The sequence below is a fragment of the Homo sapiens genome, chromosome 2 (genome assembly GCF_000001405.40).
Source record: "Homo sapiens chromosome 2, GRCh38.p14 Primary Assembly".
In the NCBI taxonomy this organism is placed as follows: domain Eukaryota; kingdom Metazoa; phylum Chordata; class Mammalia; order Primates; family Hominidae; genus Homo; species Homo sapiens.
Window position 1 is genome coordinate 230,782,177 of NC_000002.12, and position 19,411 is coordinate 230,801,587.

At 41.4% G+C, this 19,411-nt stretch overlaps 1 protein-coding gene across 5 annotated transcripts in view, besides 2 other annotated features; it reads left to right on the plus strand.

Moving 5' to 3' along the window:
- Positions 1–19,411, plus strand: part of CAB39 (calcium binding protein 39) — a 108,234-nt gene that overhangs the window by 69,335 nt on the left and 19,488 nt on the right. For all 5 annotated transcript variants that reach the window (XR_007076406.1, XR_007076407.1, NM_016289.4 and 2 more), the window contains exons 3-5: positions 8,696–8,860; positions 11,037–11,155; positions 16,553–16,721. Coding sequence is in view for 3 of the 5 variants with exons in the window: in NM_016289.4 (NP_057373.1) it covers positions 8,696–8,860; positions 11,037–11,155; positions 16,553–16,721 (453 nt within the window). In the remaining 2 variants the exon portion in view is untranslated. The remainder of the gene's footprint in view (positions 1–8,695; positions 8,861–11,036; positions 11,156–16,552; positions 16,722–19,411) is intronic.
- Positions 7,774–8,273: an enhancer, noted in NCBI's record as "H3K27ac hESC enhancer chr2:231654665-231655164 (GRCh37/hg19 assembly coordinates)". NCBI's record gives its function as "activates a minimal SCP1, AML or CMV promoter by ChIP-STARR-seq in naive H9 embryonic stem cells {active_cell/tissue: H9 hESC(naive)}" and the evidence as "EXISTENCE:reporter gene assay evidence [ECO:0000049][PMID:30033119]".
- Positions 11,100–12,299: an enhancer, noted in NCBI's record as "P300/CBP strongly-dependent group 1 enhancer chr2:231657991-231659190 (GRCh37/hg19 assembly coordinates)". NCBI's record gives its function as "activates an origin of replication core promoter dependent on BRD2, BRD4, P300/CBP, MED14 and CDK7 cofactors, with strong dependence on P300/CBP, by STARR-seq in HCT116 cells {active_cell/tissue: HCT116}" and the evidence as "EXISTENCE:reporter gene assay evidence [ECO:0000049][PMID:35650434]".

The window sequence follows — 19,411 nt, forward strand, 5'->3', positions numbered from 1 at the left end:
TATCTGTTGTGTGTGTGTCATCTTCAGTTAGTAAATACTTGCTAAATTGCCTTCTCTTGTGAAACACTTATTAAAATTTTCTGATCATCTTTTGGTAATATTTGGATATATTTTTCAAGCTTTTTGTTTAATCAGCTTATAATTGTCCATGGTTATTTGGTTATTTGTTAGAAATCTTTAAAATGTGGGAGGGGGGATGTCTCGTGGGGAGGGCTGAAAAAGGAGAAATGGAAGAAGAAATCAATGAGTACCAACATAATGATCATTTTGATCTATATAATTTACCTCATCTTTTTTTTTCTTTTTTAAATAAAAGTAGAATGTGAATTGTGAGAAAAAATATTCAAGCAAGTCTGAAATGGAGCAAATACTCTTCTTACTCCACCCCACAGGTAGACGACCATACTGAGTTTGATGTGTATTCTCCCAGAGTATTTTCTCTGTGAGACCATAGGGAATTACGTTGTAAATTGAGCACAAGGCAAATCACAACCAAACTTAACCTTTGAAAACCCTTTAATTGTCCATACAGAGCAGTAAACAGTGTGGCCGTACTGTGACTCAAGATTTCCAACACCGCAAGTATTTCCTCCAACATTGAAACAGACTGCTGTTTCTTTCTTTCTTTCTTTCTTTCTTTTTTTTTTTTTTTTTTTGAGAAGAAGGGAGTCTCCCTCTCTGTCGCCCAGGCTGGAGTGCAGTGGTGGCTCACTGCAAGCTCCGCCTCCTGGGTTCACGCCATTCTCCTGCCTCAGCCTCCTGAGTAGCTGGCACTACAGGCGCTGACCACCACGCCTGGCTAATTTTTTGTTTTTGTTTTTGTTTTTGTTTTTAGTAGAGACGGGGTTTCACCATGTTAGCCAGGATGGTCTCGATCTCCTGACCTCGTGATTCGCCCGCCTCGGCCTCCAAGGTGTTGGGATTACAGGCGTGAGCCACTGCGCCCGGCCCAGACTGCTCTTTCTTTAGTGGAGCACCAGATGCAGTAGTTGGCTTTCATTGGGCTCAGCTTGGGGACTTGTCCACACTATGAGCTGTGTGTGCACACTGAGACCCAAGCTCTGGACATATGCTCATTAAGTGAAATGGCCAGCATTGAATCACTCAGCCAGTCTCTTTCCTTGTTCAGTGCTGTAACTCTTTGTTAGGAAGACATCTGCTTGTAATTCTTTAGCTGGCTCCCTTCCTTTGAACTGCAGTTATTTTTTCACATCTCAGGTGATTTATTTCGTTGCCCGTTCTTAGAGGGAAGTCTGTTCTTGTCTAGTTTTGTTTTGTTTTGTTTTGTTTTGTTTTGTTTTGTTTGTTTTGAGACAGGGTCTTGCTCTCGCTCTGCCATCCAGGCAGTGGATGAAGTGCAGTGGCACCATCTCGGCTCAGTTCAACCTCTGCACCACTCCCCACCCCCACCCCCCAGGCTCAAGCAATCCTCCCACCTCAGCCTCCCAAGTAGCTGGGACCATAGGCATGCACCACTATGCCCAGCTAATTTTTTGTATTTTTAGGAGAGATAGGGTCTCTCACCATGTTTTTCAGGCTGGTCTCGAACTCCTGAGCTCAAGCCATCCATCTGCCTTGGCCTCCCAAAGTGCTGGGATTACAGGCATGAGCCACTGTGGCCTGCCTCAATTAAACACTTTTAAGGAATCCCTTGACTTCATGGTATGATAACATCACATTTCTCTACATCCATTTGTAATCTGAATTTTAAACCCTGTGATCAGGAATGCTGATTTTCAGCCATTCATCAATAATGTATGAAGCATTTTAAGCAACAGCAATGTCTTAGTCATATTTATGTTATGAAAAGATAATTCTAGGTGTGATGTGGAGAATGCATCCCCATTAGGCCCCCTGCAATCCAAAGAAACCAGTCAGTACACGATATATTAATCTAGGCAAGAGTTATGGGAACTTTGATTTGGGTGGTGATGGTAGACGGGGATAAATGGATGGATTTGGGAGTCAGTGATGAGTTAGCTATTGGGGCGAGGTGAAGAGGGGAGAGTTGAAGATGACTCCTAAATTTCTGACGTGTAGTAACATCATCAGTGGTATCATTACATGAAACGGAACAAGGCAGGATATCAGGCACTAGGGCGAGATCTTGAGTTCTATTTTAGATGTATTCGATTTGAGGTACCTTGAGACATTACGAGTGGAGACATTTTGAGAAGGCTGCCCAGTGGTACTGATAAGGCCTGGGAGAAAAGAACTGGATTAGAGATAGGAATCTATGAGGCATCTGCATTTAACTGTTAATTAAAGCAGTGGGTGTGGATGAGATCACTTAAGAGTCTAGAGAATAAGAAGAGGAAGCCCTAGTACCCTGCCTTGCGGGATTCCCTGTGTTTAAATGGCCTAGCCAAGGTGAATGAGGCAAAAAGGAGACAGAGAAGGAGCAACCAGAGAGTTAGGAGGGAAAATAAGGATGGTGGTGAGTCACGGAGGACCAGAAGAATGGTTTTCAGAGGCGGGTGTAATCAGCAATTCCGAATCCTGTGGAAAGTTCAGGTGTAATTGTTGGGAATGAAGTTTTTGGTGTCGGGAAAAAGAGAAAAAAAGAATTAACGCGGGAAGAAATGATCTCTCAGCAGAGAGAGCTTTACTTTCTGCAGAAAGGGTGCTACTCAATAGTTGTCTGGCCACGAGAGCACACCGAACAAAGGAGACAGAGTTATTTATAACCTGACGTGTTTACCCTACTGCTGTGTCCAGTTTCCATTGGCTGGGATAGGACCTCACATTTTACACTTTATCCTATTGGCTATTAGTTTAAAACTTTCTTAAATAGGTAAGGGGAACAGAACAAAGAAAAGGAAGTTGTCCAGGACTAGTTAAGGAAGCATCTCCAAATAAGGAATGGCATGCACTGTGGGCTCCGGTGTGCCTAATTCTGTCCAGGCATGCTGGAGCAAGCTAGGAGAGCTGATTTGGAATACATACATATACACACTAATAGTGCACAGCAATCTTATAGTAAGAAATTGTGACTTTTCATAATCTTTGAAAAAGAACTTCCCCATTTCTCACAGTAATAAAGACACACAATTGTATTTAATGACATGCAGGTCAGTGACTAGCCAAAAGGATTGGGCTGAAGAGTGAGTGAGGAAAAAGACTTGGACTATGGTAAATACAGGCAAATGTTTTGAGAGGTTTAATTATGAGGTGTGGGTAGTAGCTGGGCAGGGGCGCGTGGGCAGGGGGGCAGGGGGGCAGGGGGCGGTTGTGGAATCTAAGGAGGGCCTATTCGATTTTGTCAAATGGAGTCTTAATCAGGTTTAAAACTGATAGGAAGAAATTAGGTGAGGGGAGATTGACTCTGTGAGGAGGAGGTGAGGTAACAGGCAGGGTGAGTTCCTAAGAACGCATGGGGGTGGGGAGATCCAAAAGCAGATGAGGATTAATGTAGGTGGCGGGTGCAGTATCAGCTGGTGAGGGAATTCCTTCTGAAAGAGAAGGGGGCTTTATACAGAGTCCACAATGCCATTCAATTCAGAAGTACAACAAATAGCTTTCTCTCTCTTTTTTTTGAGACAGGGTCTTGCTCTGTCACCCAAGCTGGAGTGCAGTGGTGCAATCATAGCTCACTGCAGCCTCAACCTCCTGATCTCAGCCTCAGCTTCCTGAGTAGCTGAGACTATAGGTGCATGCCACCACACTCAGCTAACTTTTGTGTTTTTTTTTTAAGAGATGGAGTCTTGGCCGGGCGCGGTGGCTCACACCTGTAATCCCAGCACTTTGGGAGGCCGAGGCAGGCGGATCACAAGGTCAGGAGAGCGAGACCATCCTGGCTAACACGGTGAAACCCCGTCTCTACTAAAAGTACAAAAAATTAGCCGGGTGTTGTGGCGGGTGCCTGTAGTCCCAGCTACTGGGGAGGCTGAGGCAGGAGAATGGCATGAACCCGGGAGGTGGAACTTGCAGTGAGCCAAGATTGCGCCACTGCACTCCAGCCTGGGTGACAGAGCAAGACTCTGTCTCAAAAAAAAAAAAAAAAAAAAAAAAAGAGATGGAGTCTCACCATGTTGCCCAGGCTGGTCTCAAACTCCTAGGCTCAAGTGATCTATCTGCTGCAGCCTCCCAGAGTGCTAGGATCACAGGCGTGAGCCACCACACCCAGCCATAAATAGCTTTCTAATTATGTTCCTGTCTCTCTCTTTCCTTCCTTTTTTTGGGGGGTGGGGTGGGGATGGGGGGAACAGCTTTATTGAGATATAATTTACATGCCGTATAGTTCACCCATTTGAAGGGTACAATTCAGTGGTTTTTAATTTATTCACAAATATGTGTAACCATAACCACAGTTAATTTTAGGACATTTTGTCACCTCACAAACCTGTACCCTTTAGTTATTCACCTCCCTTCTTTCTTACTCATCTTTTGCTGTCAGAATAGAATATGGTCTGAATTCAAATTTGAAAATCATATAATAAAGTATAAACTGAGGTACATGAAGAATTGTTAAGAGCTTTAAAACTTTGATCTAACCAGAGAAGCAAAGGAGGCTGAGGCCTCCTACTTATGGTCACTGGTGTAGAATCAATAGATAATGCATTCACAAAACCTATTAGGTATCAGATTCTTCCTGTCAAAGAGAATTATCTGAAGAATAGAGATAGTAAAATGGAGTAGAAAACCCAATACATGCAGATAGATTGTAAGAGAACACCTACTATTGCTAAATGATTTTCTCTTGGCCCAGAAAAATTACATTCTGGGTTACTGAATTTGCATATGGGATGATGAACTACCATCAGATCTCCAAGGCATTACCGATAATGAAGTGTAGTAACAGCAGGCTGGAAAAGGTAGACTCGGCTTAGCATTGATACTGAGGGGGATTATTAGGAGGATGACTTACAAGCATTTAGAAAAGAATGTCATAGTCAGTAGATATTAGTGTAGGTGTAGTAAAAAGGTCAGACCAAATAACTGCATTTTCTCATGGTCAGGAAATAGGGAAGAAATAGTATAATTTAATTTTATCAAGGTATTTGACCAAAAAAACCTTTGGAATATAACTTGGAAATAGTTGCATATATACATGACTGAGCAGCCCTGCTCCAAGATTTGTAGTAGATCATTACTGAAAGGAGCATGATGATTCAAAGATATGATGGGCTCTATTCATGCGTCATTCCTTTCCAGCATTTTAGTCAATGATTGAGGCAGGTCATGGGAGACATACATATGAGATTTTCATATGTATGTGAGAGCGTTTAGCTAATACATTGGATGTCCATCAGAATCCAGAGTTACTGCCATAATCTTGAATGATGGGCTGATGAGATTAAATTAAATAGAAAAATTGAAGTCTTCATTGCAGTGTCATTCGCCCCAGTTTAAGAATAACATTTGGAAAGACCTGTCTTTACCAAGCAGTACCTGTGAAAGCCAAAGACATTTTGTTCACTGTAAGCTCTCTCTGACTCAATTATACAATATAATTGCAAAAATTCTTAGAAGGTAGCCTTGGGCTGCACTAACATTTGTAATGGAGGAGTGGTGGTCTGGTGTCTTCTGCATTGTACCATTCTGGATAGGGCTGAATGTTAGCTCTGCCTTTCTTAGGAGGTTAATCAAAGAACCTGAGGGGAGGTTTTCTGGAGAAGATGACAATTTAGGGAAGATAGGCAGGCTGCCCTCAAGAGATTTATGTGGAAGAGAAGTTAAAATATTGCCTGATCTGCAGTACAAACCCAGGGCCAGTAGACAGTGTAGTGAAGCAATGTTTGTCTCGTAAATTTGTCTAACAACTATCTGATTCTGAATTCAGCTCATCCTGCATTACTGGACACTGGAAATATTTAAGGTAAAGTCATGTGATTTGATAGGAAGCTTAGAAGGTTACATAACTGAATACCATGAGACTATATGATCCTCTAAGTACTGCTTAACGCTGAGGTTTTGTGAATCTGTGCAAAGTAATCTTGAAGTATATTTCTGATCATAAATGCTTCACTTTATATAAGTTTTTATAGCCTTTATGTTATGTCTCTTTAATACTCTACTTGGGTCTCCTTTGTTGGTTTATTAGCTATAAATCTTTGATTTTGTTTTTCGGTTTTTTTTTTTTTTAAGTGGTTGCTTTAGGGCTTATAGTATACACCTTTAACTTACTATAGTCTATCTTCAGGAAATATACTACTTCAGTTATTATAAGAACCTGACAACATTATACCTGTGTACCTCCATTACACCTCTTTGAGCTATTGTTGCCGTATTTTTTGTTCTACATATGTTATAACCCCAGAATACGTTGTTATTTTTGCTTTAAAGAGCCAATTCTCTTTTAAATAAAAGGGAAAATTTTGTTTAATACTGTCTTCATTGCTTTTCATTTCTTTGTGAAGAATCATTTTTCTTCAGCCAGTAGGACTTCCTTAAATATTTCACGAAGTACAAGTCTTCTGGTGATGAAATATTTCTACTTTTCTGTGTCTCAAAAACTCTATTCCGCCTTTGTTTTTCAAAGGTATTTTTGCTGTGGTGTAAAATTTTAGAATGACAATTTGGTTGTGTTTTTCAGTATTTTAACAATGTTCCTCCACTATCTTTTGACTTGCATCATTCCTGTCAAGAAGTCTGTTGTCATTCTTTGATTCTTTGTCCATAGTATTTTTTCCCTCTGGCTACTTTTAAGATTCTTTATCACTGAATTTAAGCAATTTGATTATTCTGTGCCTTGGTATTGTCTTCTTGTTTCTCATGCTTGGGATTTTTCAATGTTTTGGCTCTATGGAATTACAATTTTTATTAAATTTGGAAAACATTCGTCCATTATGTCTTCAAATAGTTTGTCTGCCCTTCCACCTCTTTTGGGGGCTGCAGTTACACATCTGTGAGGTTGCTTAAAGTTATCCCCTAGCTCACTAATGAGATGTCCCTTTTTCCCCCCTAAGTTTCATTTTAGATAGTTTTTAGGCTCTCTCTTTGTGTTTACTAACCTATTCTTATCTACTATCTAATCTGCTGTTAATCCCATCTGGTATAATTTTTATCTTAGACCTTGTAGTTTTATTTCTAAGTGTTTCATTCAGGTGTTTTTTTATGCCTTTCATTCCTCTACTTAACATGGTACATGTTAGTGATAGATAACTATTTGTAGTTGTAGTAACTATTTTAATGTCCTTATTGAGTATTTTAATGTCCTTGTTGAGTAATTCTGCCATCTGTGCCATTTCCACAGCTGTTTCTGTTGATTAGTTCTTCTTCTTATTAGTCGTGTTTTCCGGTTTTGGTCCTTTCCAGGATTGCTGTTAAGCTTTGTTGGGCAGGACCAGATCAGAGTTTGGCCTAGGATTAATTTTGTATGCCTACTGAGGCAAAACCCCCTGAGTACTTTGCTTGATGACTAGTGAATATGAGGTTTTCCATTAGGCTGGTAGGAAACAGGAGCTATTTCCAGCCCCATGTGAGCTCCAAGGTTCTGGTTCCTAGCCTTGGCTACTTTCCTTACCCATGTGTGGTTATCAGTACTCAGTTGAAGACATGAGTGGGCTCTGCAGGTCTCTGCCATGCTCTTTCTGGGCAGCTCTTTCCTCTCTGCCACTCTGCCCTGTTGTAAACTCTAGTCTTCTTGGCCTCCCTGGGTTGCCAGGTCTGCCTCTTCAACTAATGGAGAACACCTCTTCTGGCTGGCTCCCCCGTCCTGGTGCTGTGGCCTAGCAAGAAGGTAGGGTAATTATGAAGTTTCCCTCATTTGTTTCCTTCTCTCAGGGATCACTGTCCTGTACTGCCTGAAGTCCACTGTTTCAAAGTCATTGTTTTGGCCAGGCACGGTGGCTCACACCTGTAATCCCAGCACAAGTTGGGCAGATCGCTTGAGCCCAGGAGTTTGAGACCAGCCTGAGCAAGATGGCAAAACCCCATCTCTACTAAAAATACAAAAATCGGCCTGGCATGGTGGCACACACCTGTGGGAAACCCAGCTACCCAGGAGGCTAAGGAGGATCTTAGCTACCCAGGAGGATCGATTAAGTCCAGGAAGTTGAGTCGGCAGTGAGCTGTGATCTCACCACTGCACTCCAGGCCTGGGCGACAGCACGAGACCCTGTCTCAAAAAAAAAAAATGTCGTTTTATGTATCTTATCCTACTCATTAGTCTTTTTCATGGGGAAAGGTAAATCTGGCCCTTCTCTATCTTGAGCAGAAGTAGAAGCTCTTTAGTGACTTTATATCTATCACTAACACCTTAGCTTTGCACTCACCCATTTTCTGCTCTCTTCCCTTATTTCCTCCACACCTTTTCTGTGATAAGACTTGTACTTTCCCTTCTCCCTCATCCCTAGCTCATGCCATTCCTTATCCTCCATACTTGCTTGTCAGAATCTCTTCATTCTTAGGGATCAGCCCAGTTGCCTCTTTGGTGATGTTTCCCTCCCACTTGAGGAAGTGAACCTTTCTCCCTGTTTTGTTTCTGCCATAGATAAACATGGTTTTCAGTGTTTGGGTGTCTGTGTTGTGCACATGCTGGCCTTCCTGTGGTGTATGCATGTTGGTCCCCATGTGCACGCAGACATAGCGCCCAGCTCCTGAGGGCAAGGATGGAGCTTGCCCACTTTGCTTCTTGTTCATAGGTCCATGGGTCTGTAATATAGAGAGGTGATTTGACAAATTTTGACGTGTTATATGTTTGTTAAAATGAATTGTTTTTTCTCCTCTTCCCAACTCCTCTCTCTAAAATTAGGCTACAGAAGAAGTTTCCAAAAATCTGGTTGCCATGAAAGAAATTCTGTATGGCACAAATGAAAAAGAGCCTCAGACAGAAGCAGTAGCTCAACTTGCTCAAGAACTCTATAATAGTGGGCTCCTTAGCACCCTGGTAGCTGATTTACAGCTCATTGACTTTGAGGTAAGAAATCAATTTCTTATTTTTAAAAAACAGTACCCTGTGCATAATTCTTTTCCATACGTTCTCTCTTTTGGAACATTGTAAGATTCCTTTTGGGCTCTTGGCTCAGGGTTACTGACCTCTGTCAGCATGCCTGGGCTGCCTGCCTGATTAGCAGAGCAAAGGCAGGAACCCAGGGGTGTTTCAGGCTTGGGACAGGGTTCTTCCCTGTTTCATCACATTGGACATGGAGTTTCTTAGATATTCATTATGCCATTTCATTTAGGTTGTTTTAAAAAACAACTGCTCATTAGAGCACTCTAGTACTCTAATAATTCACTGGCCCTTGACTTTCAAGGAATAAACAATCTAAAGACAGCTATAGAATGTTAGAATTTCAGAGGAAGATACAATCTTAAGAGAACATCCAGTTATGTCTTCGTTACCTGTTAATTCATTACAACCAGAGACCATATGTGTTTTGTTTGCTTAGCACTGCTTTTAAATTTTAAATTAGTGTAACATTTAAGTGACAGGACATTTATACACGGTCTGAATTTCTGGCTTCTCTTGAAAAACTTGATTCTAGCAATATTGGGTATATAGTCCTGCTTGGCCCTTCAGCTAGAGCAGAGTAGCATCACAGGGCGTCTACACCTGGGTTTGCTGTAGGTGGCACAGCTTGCTCCTCCTGTCTCAGGGCCCATTTGCATCTCCTGCCCAGCCCTGGTAGGCATTTGACATTGTTGCCCGAGTTAATACAGTTGGATCATGCTATGTTAAATATTTAGTGGATTTAACAGTGAGAATAATGATCCTGGATACCATCTGAATATTTGCGATGCATATATGGTAATGAAGCTAATGAAGCGCTGTGGCATGGCCATGCCTCTTTAACTCTTTGTCATCAGTGTGCTTTGTTTTAAGCCCCAGTGTTTGTCAGCCTGAGTGAGTGGATGTCTGTACAGGTGCTTGAAAGACAGGTACATGTTCCAGAGGAGAAAATGACAGACGTATAGCCAGATTAAATTTTGGAAAAGGATGAGAGGGTATGGTTCATAAGTTGAGTATAATACTGTTAATAAAATAAAGTAAAATTTTATTTCTGTCCTACTGTAGAGCAGATAGAACTGCAATGTTTTCATTTCATAGCTGATTTCATGTATTTTTAATAATGTATCAAATTCCAACAGCAACAATTTGTATTTCCTCTGCAAAGTTGGGGATGTAGTGGAACATCTAGGTTCCTTCTCCTTTGTCTGCCTCCACCCGACCTGGACACTGAATTTAATATTTATGTGGAACTTCAAAGACATCAACTTAAAAGAAAAGTGTGCCCTTAAGGCTGGTTCTTAGAGATTGCCATTTCTGCTCCTGAGCTAGTGCGGGGCCCAGGATGATCTCTCTGTCTGTGGTTTAGGTATACCCTGGAAAGCTAGCATTTCACTCCCTCTCCTATGGGCTTGTTAGCCTTGTAACAAGTGGCTGTTCAGAAATGCCACTTGGAGTCCAGTTCTCCATTTGTTGATTTCTTGTGCAGCTTTCCGATTGTAAGATTCACTGGAAAGATCCGTCTGTTTTGTACAGTAGTGTAATGAAGTTCTGATCTCTGAACTACTGTATCATGTGATACTTAGTACCTTCATTATTAATCTATATAAAGTCTTCCCTAAACAGGCCTAGTTTAATTGGAAGATAGGTCTACTTTCCATTAAAGCCCAGCTTCATACAGAATTATTCCATTTTTAATATAGCAGCAGAGTATATTTTCCTCTCCTTCCATCACTATGAAAGGAAAGCACATATAGTGTTCCCAATGTAAGCATCTTATTTGAAGCTGCTTGTTCCATTTGGGTGGAATTCAGATCCCTTAGATTGTTAACATATTGCAGGGTTTTGTTTCTCATATCAGAGTCAGCGTGATCCTGAGACTTAGAAATGGTGGAAATTATATGTGGAATATAGTCAACCCATTGTTGTTTTTGTCAACACATTGTTCATGTTAAAAATAGTACACTAGTAAACTTACAATTTGGAATTACAAATGAAGAGATAATTTAATGTCTATGAATGTGTTAAAGTCAGATATTCAGTCATAACAATAAGTACAATGGCCTTATTCGAGTTCATTTGGGAGGGTGAATGAGCATTTTGATGTTTGGTCAGGAAAATGTGTTAATGATTGTATTCCTAATAGGGCAAAAAAGACGTGGCTCAAATTTTCAACAATATTCTCAGAAGACAAATTGGTACGAGAACTCCTACTGTTGAATACATCTGCACCCAACAGAATATTTTGTTCATGTTATTGAAAGGGTATGTACAATGTAATAAAATTTGTATTCTCAGTTGAACATAAAGGAAGGATTGCCTTGGGAAAAAAAACAGGATGCTGAATGTGGGAAGCATTTTCTCTGTAGTTAGATAATTTTTCCATAGATTTTGAACACATTTCCCTCCTTGAAATTCAACTTGTGAGCTAAATTGAATTTGAAAATGCCCTACAGGTGGGAATTTAAAATTAGGTGAATTCTGAGCTTTTAAATTCACAAATCCAGCATGACTGAAGGAAAAAATAATAATTCTCTGTGGTCTTATTTCTGTTCTCTAGGATTTAAAAAAGTTGAATTTCATTGAAGTATCAGTTAAGTTATATATTGAAAGACATCTCCTTTGGACATAATACGCACGCTGTAAGGCAGTAAAAGCTGCCTCTTAAATGGAGCATGGATTCTCTACAGCTTTACTTTGTTGAGTCAGCAAAGTACATGTTTATGAAGTAGTGTCCTTTGATTTTTACCTCTCTGTGTCCACTTACTAATCCATATAATTTGGTAATTCACAGTGCATCTTCCTGAAATTACTACTGGTCTAAGCAGGCATTAATGTTTGGGTAGTCTTGTCAGTTTAAAAAAGCCTGAAAACCGAACCATAGAACCAAATGCCCTTCTCCCTCATCCCTGAGCCTCATTGACTGGCAAGGTAACCTCCTGCTGTTTCACACCAGAGTTGTGTGCCAGCCCCGGGTATGGTGTGCATCTGTTTGTCCCAACATTGGTGGTGGTCTGTTCTATTAAGTTGGTGGGCAGGCATGTTCCTGGCATGACTGTTGGTGTGAATCAGCTTGCTCTACTCCTCCTGGCTTTATAGCTTGCCTCAGTCTGATTCACGTCTCTGCGGTTTAACACTTCCCCCAAGTTCAAGCTTGTTTAGACAAAGTGTGAGTCAGTGCCTGTGTTGCACGCCAGCGTTCTGTTTCCCTCTTTCTATTTCTAACCATCTGTGTTACTTCTTCAGATTTTGGGATACAGAACTTTTGGCATCTAATTTTGTGTTGTATCAATTCAGAGTTGTATGTAAAAACATGTAGTGAGCAGTGTGAAATTGTGGTGATCTTAGAGCAGCTTTCAGGTGCCTTTGTGTGTTTTTAAAGCCCATATTTCCTTTTCCATAGAAACCAAGGATTATTAAAATCAATACATTAGTTAACTCTGCTGACATTTTTCACTTCAGAGTAATCAGAGGCATGATATGAATGTTGTTAAATGGCATGTCAAGAAAGACTTTTGAGATACAATTTACAGTTTAGAGCTCTCACCTGTGCTGGCCAGAGCAGACACTTCCAGCCAGGAAGTAGCATGGAGAATGCAACTGGTGGGCCCACCGGAAGCCCCGCCCACCTCCTTTGTTGTGAAAAATATACGTACAACTAGAGGGAATATGTAACATACCGGTTCCTACCCTAAACCCAGCTTCAACAGTTACGAATGTTCTGTCATTCTTGTTCCTCTAGTCCTTGCCCCCTTTTTCCTCTGACACATGACATCACTCAGTATGCATCCCTAGTACGCATTACAAAACACAGTATAACACAGTTACGTTACCATTTGCAAACCTAATGTCTAATGCCCAATCTACAGATTTCCTCAATTTTCACAAAAATGGCATTTTACAGTTCGTTTATTTAATATTACTTCCAGGCTGGACATGGTGGCTCACGCCTGTAATACCAGCATTTGGGAGGCCAAGGCGGGTGGATCACTTGAGTCCAGGAGTTTGAGACCAGCCTGGGCAATATGGTGAAACCCCGCCTCTACTAAAAATACAAAAATTAGCCGGGTGTGGTGGCACACACCTGTAATCCCAGCTATTCGGGAGGCTGAGGCACAAGAATAGCTTGAACCCAGGAGATGGAGGTTGCAGTGAGCCGAGATTGCGCCACTGCACTTTAGCCTGGGTGACAGAGCAAGACTTGATTTCCAAAAAAAAAAAAAAGTTCCAAACAAGGCCCACAAACTGAATTTGGTTAATACTCTGAGCTCTCTTTTAATCTATAATAGTTAATATTATGCCATCTCTTTGTTGAAGCCTGGATTGTTTGTTTTGTAGAAAAATCATATATTTTAGACTTGGCATTCCTGTTGCTTCTGTAACATGTTCCACTATCTGCTAGTGATTTAACTGGTAGATAGTTAGATCTGGCTTTTTTTTATTAGATTCGGATTCACTTTGAGGGGGGCAAAAGTTCATGGATGGTGCTGTGTGCTTCATATTGGGTGGCACTGGTTATCCCATTTCTGGTGATGTTCGGATTGACCGGTGGATGCAGGTGTCCTCAGTCTGTAATCTGTCCATTACAAAATTCTCATTGACCTTTCACCTCCTGGTTTTAGTTTCCATTGAGAATCATTGCCTAGATTCAGAATGGCAGTTTCCTGATTCTGTTATTTCTTCTTCATATAATTAAATTGTTTCTATAAAGAAGAACCCTTCTTCCTTGATGACTTAGTTATCCCAAAATAGTCTCATTTTTTAGTATAATCAGGTATTTTTTTTTTAGTATAATCAGTTGATGACCTGGCCACTTCCTTAGATAAGTATTGAGTTGTTTTAAGGATCATTATAAACTCACGTTTTTGTCTTTTTAAAAATTATATTTGATATGTCTCAATCCATTCCAGTCATTACTTTCTTGTGTCCAAGTTGCCCCATCTTTGGCCCTTGGGAACTCCTTCAAGTTGCCTTCTGTGTTGTTTTGGCAAGACCCCATCAGTCTGTGATTGCTTCCTTGCTTTCTGGCGTAGGATGACCATCTTGCTCATTTTGTACGAGTCCTGCCAGACCTGGAAACAGCTGTTTCTTGAAGGAGCGCTGTGAACTGCATTTTAAGATTTTTGTACTTTTGTTAATTAATTTAGACTGCTTCCATACAGTGTGATTATCTTCTTAGGCTGTGAGTACTTCTGTTAGATATTTATTTGCGGGGCCATGCTGCTAATACTAGCATGCATTTGAAGTCGTATTGCTAGTGTTAGACTACATTTGGAGGCGATTTTTTTTTTACTGGCAATTTACATGTTAGTATGCTGTTCACTCTAGTGCTCACAGGTTATACAGCATAACTGTTTGCCTTGTATTTACTGGTTTATGGTTTAATCGTTTAGACAAGCTTGACAAGCCTCCATCAAAACCTGTTCAACTTGTACCAAACTGTCTTACCCTTGTCTTTCCTGCCTTCTAAAGCTCAGCAAAGATGAATTGTATGATCAGCCATTTTGTGAGCAGATATTTCCATCAAGTAAGAGCCGGTCAGCATTCTAGCTGCATGCCTCCACTGATGCCAAGGAGTGTGGTTTTATCTTGTTGAGGATCTGTGATGTGTAAGAGGACACCACTACTAGATAACAAATGAGTACTACAGGATTTCAGAGGATAAAATGTGGTTTGGGTTAATAAGGCAAGGGTTGATAAAAGGAATAGGACTTAAGATGGGAGTTCCTAGTAGTTTAGAATTTACACAGGCAGAAAAGAGAGAAGGCATCCTAATGGCATATGACTGGGAACAAAGGTACAGGGGCAGGAATGAACATAACATGATTGGCAGCAATAAGGAGAGAATTTGAAAGTTGTGTGGCAGGTTGGGAGGTGACATTGTGCTAGAACAGGAGATCTAATAAGAGGAAGACTGGATAGTTAAGTCCAGAAGTTTGTCTTTATTTGATTAGCTAGAAGAAATCATTTTAAGCTCCCAAGCTGGAAATGCTGTTGATACACTTGTGTGTTGGGTAGATTTATTATGACAGAGCTTGAACAAAGGTGCTGGCTAGGAATCATTTCCAATTGTCCAGGTATGAATTAATGTAGCAGTGGGAATGAATAAAAGGAAATGAAACTAAGATAATCAGAAAAATATTTTTAAAAGCCTTTGAAGGCTTTTGAAGCCTGACATTGAAGTTGGGAAGATTTGGAGTAAAGAAGGAAAGGTTTAGAACTGGGCTGTCCAATATAGTAGCTACTAACCACATGTAATTAATTGAAATTAAATAATATTTATGATTCAACCCCACAGTCACACTAGACAAATTTCAGGTGCTCAGTAGCTATATGTGGCCAATCTCACCATAATGAACAGCACAGATACAGAACATGGAAATTTCTGTTAGACCTGGTTTAGAACTGGGTAACTGAAACAAAATAATGATGCCAAATTATAGAAATGAGGAAGCAGGGGGGTGGGGGTGATTTTATGGAGGGGGATGAGATTTGATTTGAGACACGTTGAGTTTATGGTAGCCCTTTAACGGAAGTTGTCCAGAGGCAACAGAAAATGCCTAACTAATTCAGGAGTAGACATGGAGGTGGGGTTAGTAGTCATGGTGGGAGCCATGAGATTGTATGGGCTTTCATTAGCAGGCTGTAGGCAACAGGTGAAGACCTCAGCCAGGCAAGAAATGGGAACAGTCAGAGAGATAGAAAGGAGAACATGAAAGGTTTTATTTTGGTTTTTTACAGCACTGTCAGGACACTTGAGTAGAAGACTCTATTTAGCCAAGAGGGAATCTTTGCTGGCCCGTTATTTCACTAGTGTGTTGGGAAATGGAATATGACTAGAGGAGAATGTGAGGTGGAAAGAAAGCCAGTGCATGCAGCTTGAGAGGAAGTAGAAGAGAGCGATGTGTTTGAGGGGGCGGAAGAGTCCAGTCAGAGGGCTTGTGCACATCTGAAGGGGAAATGCCTCTTGCTTGGCTGAGAGGTGTCTCTCTAATGGCGGGGAAGGAAGAAGCCAGAGACATGGAGATGAGCATAGGGAAGGCTGTGTGCAGAGAGCTGATGAGGGGGGTCTGCCTGCTCTGTGGCCCCTGGGCTCTCTGATGGGGACACTTTGTGAAGTCCTCAGGAGGAGGCTTATCAGCTTGGTAGTGTTTACATGTGGCTGAGAGTCTCCAAGTACTATCTTGAGTATTGAATTGAAACAACAAGGTATAAATTCTATATGTTTGTAGACCTATTTAGATATTCTGAATTTGGGGAAATATTTTGTTTTCTGTTTTTTGATTTAGCTTTTGGTTTTTCTGAGTGTCAAGAGCACCATCTGTAAAAGCTAACCCCTGTATGGAGTGGTATGACCCGAAATACTTCTCTTGAAATCTTTCAGCTTAAATAATGAACCTTTAGTCACACAGTCACTCGTATGGCTATTTTTCTTTGGTTTAAGGCGGTCATCACCAACCAGTGTGTGTTTGCACTCTGGAGTCAGTTTACCTGAGCACATGCTCTGCTCCGACTGAAATACCTTCTGTAATCTGCGATGGTCATTTAGTTAGGATACATGTCTGAAAACTGTCTTTGGCCTGAAAGTTTGAACTGTTCAGTGTTGGAGTTTTGAAAAAGCAATCATGTTTGGTTTGTTTGTTTGGTTTTTTGTTTTTGCAGGTATGAATCTCCAGAAATAGCTCTAAATTGTGGAATAATGTTAAGAGAATGCATCAGACATGAACCACTTGCAAAAATCATTTTGTGGTCGGAACAGTTTTATGATTTCTTCAGATATGTCGAAATGTCAACATTTGACATAGCTTCAGATGCATTTGCCACATTCAAGGTAACAAAAACTGTAGAATTCTAAATATCCTTGAAAGTCAGAGGTGTGCTGTTTTTCTAAACCTTCATTGCCCTCCTAAATCTACACGTGGCTGCCCTCTAGTGGGAAGAGAAAGATACATTTTGTATATGTTTGTGTGATAGAGGTATATGCAGTAAAGTCACAGCTTTAAAAGGGTGGAAAAGTTAGATTCTAAAGTCTATCTAAAAGACAAAAGTCCTGTGTGGTCAAAATTCTACTTTGCTGTTAAATTATAATTAAGTATGGTATACTGTACAGCATATGTAACAACCAGGTTTTCTCCTGTGTTTGAAACATTGTGTAGCAGTTTCTTTGGTTAAGCACCAGATGAAGTAGTTGGCTTCTGTTCAGGTTTATGTTAATTTGGAATATACACTTCATGAAATATTAGGACCACATTCAGGACAGAGATACTCACATTGTGGACAGGCCCGAGGAAACAGTGGATTCACCTCTCCCATCTCTGCTCACACTGGATCATGTCGATTAAATGTAGAGCGTGGACAGAATCACCCACACTATTCAAATCATAATGTATCTTCCCCGCTCCCCCATCTACCTTTCCTCCCTTGGTGTATATTTGTATAAATTAAATACATACATGATGTGACAGCACTGTACAACGTGCAGATTCTTGTTTTGAGTTACAAGGTTCTATGCTGTTTACAATCTATGAATAAAGCAGGAGTCTTTTACAATGAGAGCAAGCGTTTGTAGGTTACATTCCCTTATATAAATTGCCTAACCTTATGAATAAATATTTAGAACTGTTTTAATATAAACCAATACTTGCCAGGCGCAGTGGCTCGTGCCTGTAATCCCAGCACTTTAAGAGGCTGAGGCGGGCGGATGACCTGAGGTCGGGAGTTCGAGACCAGCCTCACCAACATGGAGAAACCCCGTCTCTACTAAAAATATAAAATCAGCCGGGCGTAGTGGCGCATGCCTGTAATCACAGCTACTCGGGAGGCTGAGGCAGGAGAATCGCTTGAACCCAGGAGACGGAGGTTGTGGTAACCCGAGAATCACACCATTGCACTCCAGCCTGGGCAACAAAAGCGAAACTCCATCTCAAAAAAAAAAAAAATGTATACACGCACACACACACACAGCCCAAAGAAAATACATATATACACACCAGTATTTAGCATACTGATATGCAGACGACCATGCTCAGAAACCATGAACACTATCACAGTGAGAAGTGGCCACCTTTCTTCTGAGGGTTCATTTTCATGATTATGAAAAGCCCCTGAAATAATGAGCACACACTTTGGTCTCTGGGTGAAATATGTCCCACCTCAGAGTGAATGAATGCCCTAAAGATAGGATGAAACCTGGGGACCTGATCATTAGGGTTTTACCTTGAATGAGAATCAGGTCATAAGGCCCCCAGGGATTTATTGAATGAGAATCAGGTCATAGTATGAGAGCTCCCCAGGAATTTATTTCCCAAAACTCTTAAAGAGGGAGTTGAAAGCCTCAGGTGAGGACCCAGATATTTGTATGTAGGTGTACAAAGCAAAACAAAATGAATTTGAGATTATAACATAGAGTGATCAATATGATGTCTTAGGTGTCACCACAGTTGGTGGGCTAGGACTCATGCTTATAATGCATCGGTGGAAGGGTATGTCCCATTCAGAAGTAGCAGACCTGCCATGAAGGGCGGTGTAGCAGCACCATGTGTCAAAGAGAGATTCCCCTGTGTGGAAGGACAGCCAGGAGCCTGAGGGTGGCAGTACTCTGGCCACATGAGGGTGAAGGAAGAGGATTGAGCAGCAGTGGTGTGGGAGAATGCAGCAAGACCCCTGACCCCGTCAGGATGTGGTTGACATGCTTCTGGCACAGATGGCAAAGGTGGCTCAGAGGTGAGAGAGATGTACTGACTATGTGCTGGAAATGGGATTTGCAGTGAGTCTCGTCTGGCCTGGCTGATAATTTCATTTCAGTTAGGGTTACTTCTTTTGATAATTCTCACCAAGGAGAAAATGGCAGTGATGGATCGCTATGGGTAAAGCAGCCCTATCAGGTCATGGTGGCCAGAGAGGGAGACTGGGCAGCCAGGCAGGTCACCCCTACTTGATAAAGAGGAAGCTTCATAAAACAAGGTAGTGTCCTAAGGGTGAGCTCTGGAAGAGAGAGCACTGGGGAGCTGGCCTGGACTGTGCATCTCAGGTGCTCCTTATTGCATGGAAAGGAAGGAGCTGAGAGGAGAGGCCCCCCAAAAGAGGGTTCTCCAAGAAACAAAATTAAGCAGAGTCTACAGCCAAGACAACATGTGAAAGAGAGGACAGACCTCCCATCATAATTTCAGGGTAGCTAAACTAGCAGACAGGTGGAAGTCACCTTCCTACTCCTCCCTGAAAGAAACTCCAGTCAGGGAAGAAAGGAAGACCAGCAGGAACAGCCTTACAGCTGCACACCAGAGGCGCTGACAAGGAGGGACACGTTGCTGCTCCTCTCCTGTCTTGCTGCTAGTCTCCTGTTTGCAGAGCATATTCTTATAATGGAAAAGAAGAATAGATCTATGGTTCATGCTTTCCTTTGAGAATGTGGCAAGAGCGCCCTCCCAGAAAACGTGCTCTGCACACAAAAATTTCCAAACATGTGGCTCATCCATAGCCCTGGAACAGGTGCTGAGTCTTTAAAGGAAATTAGAACTGCTC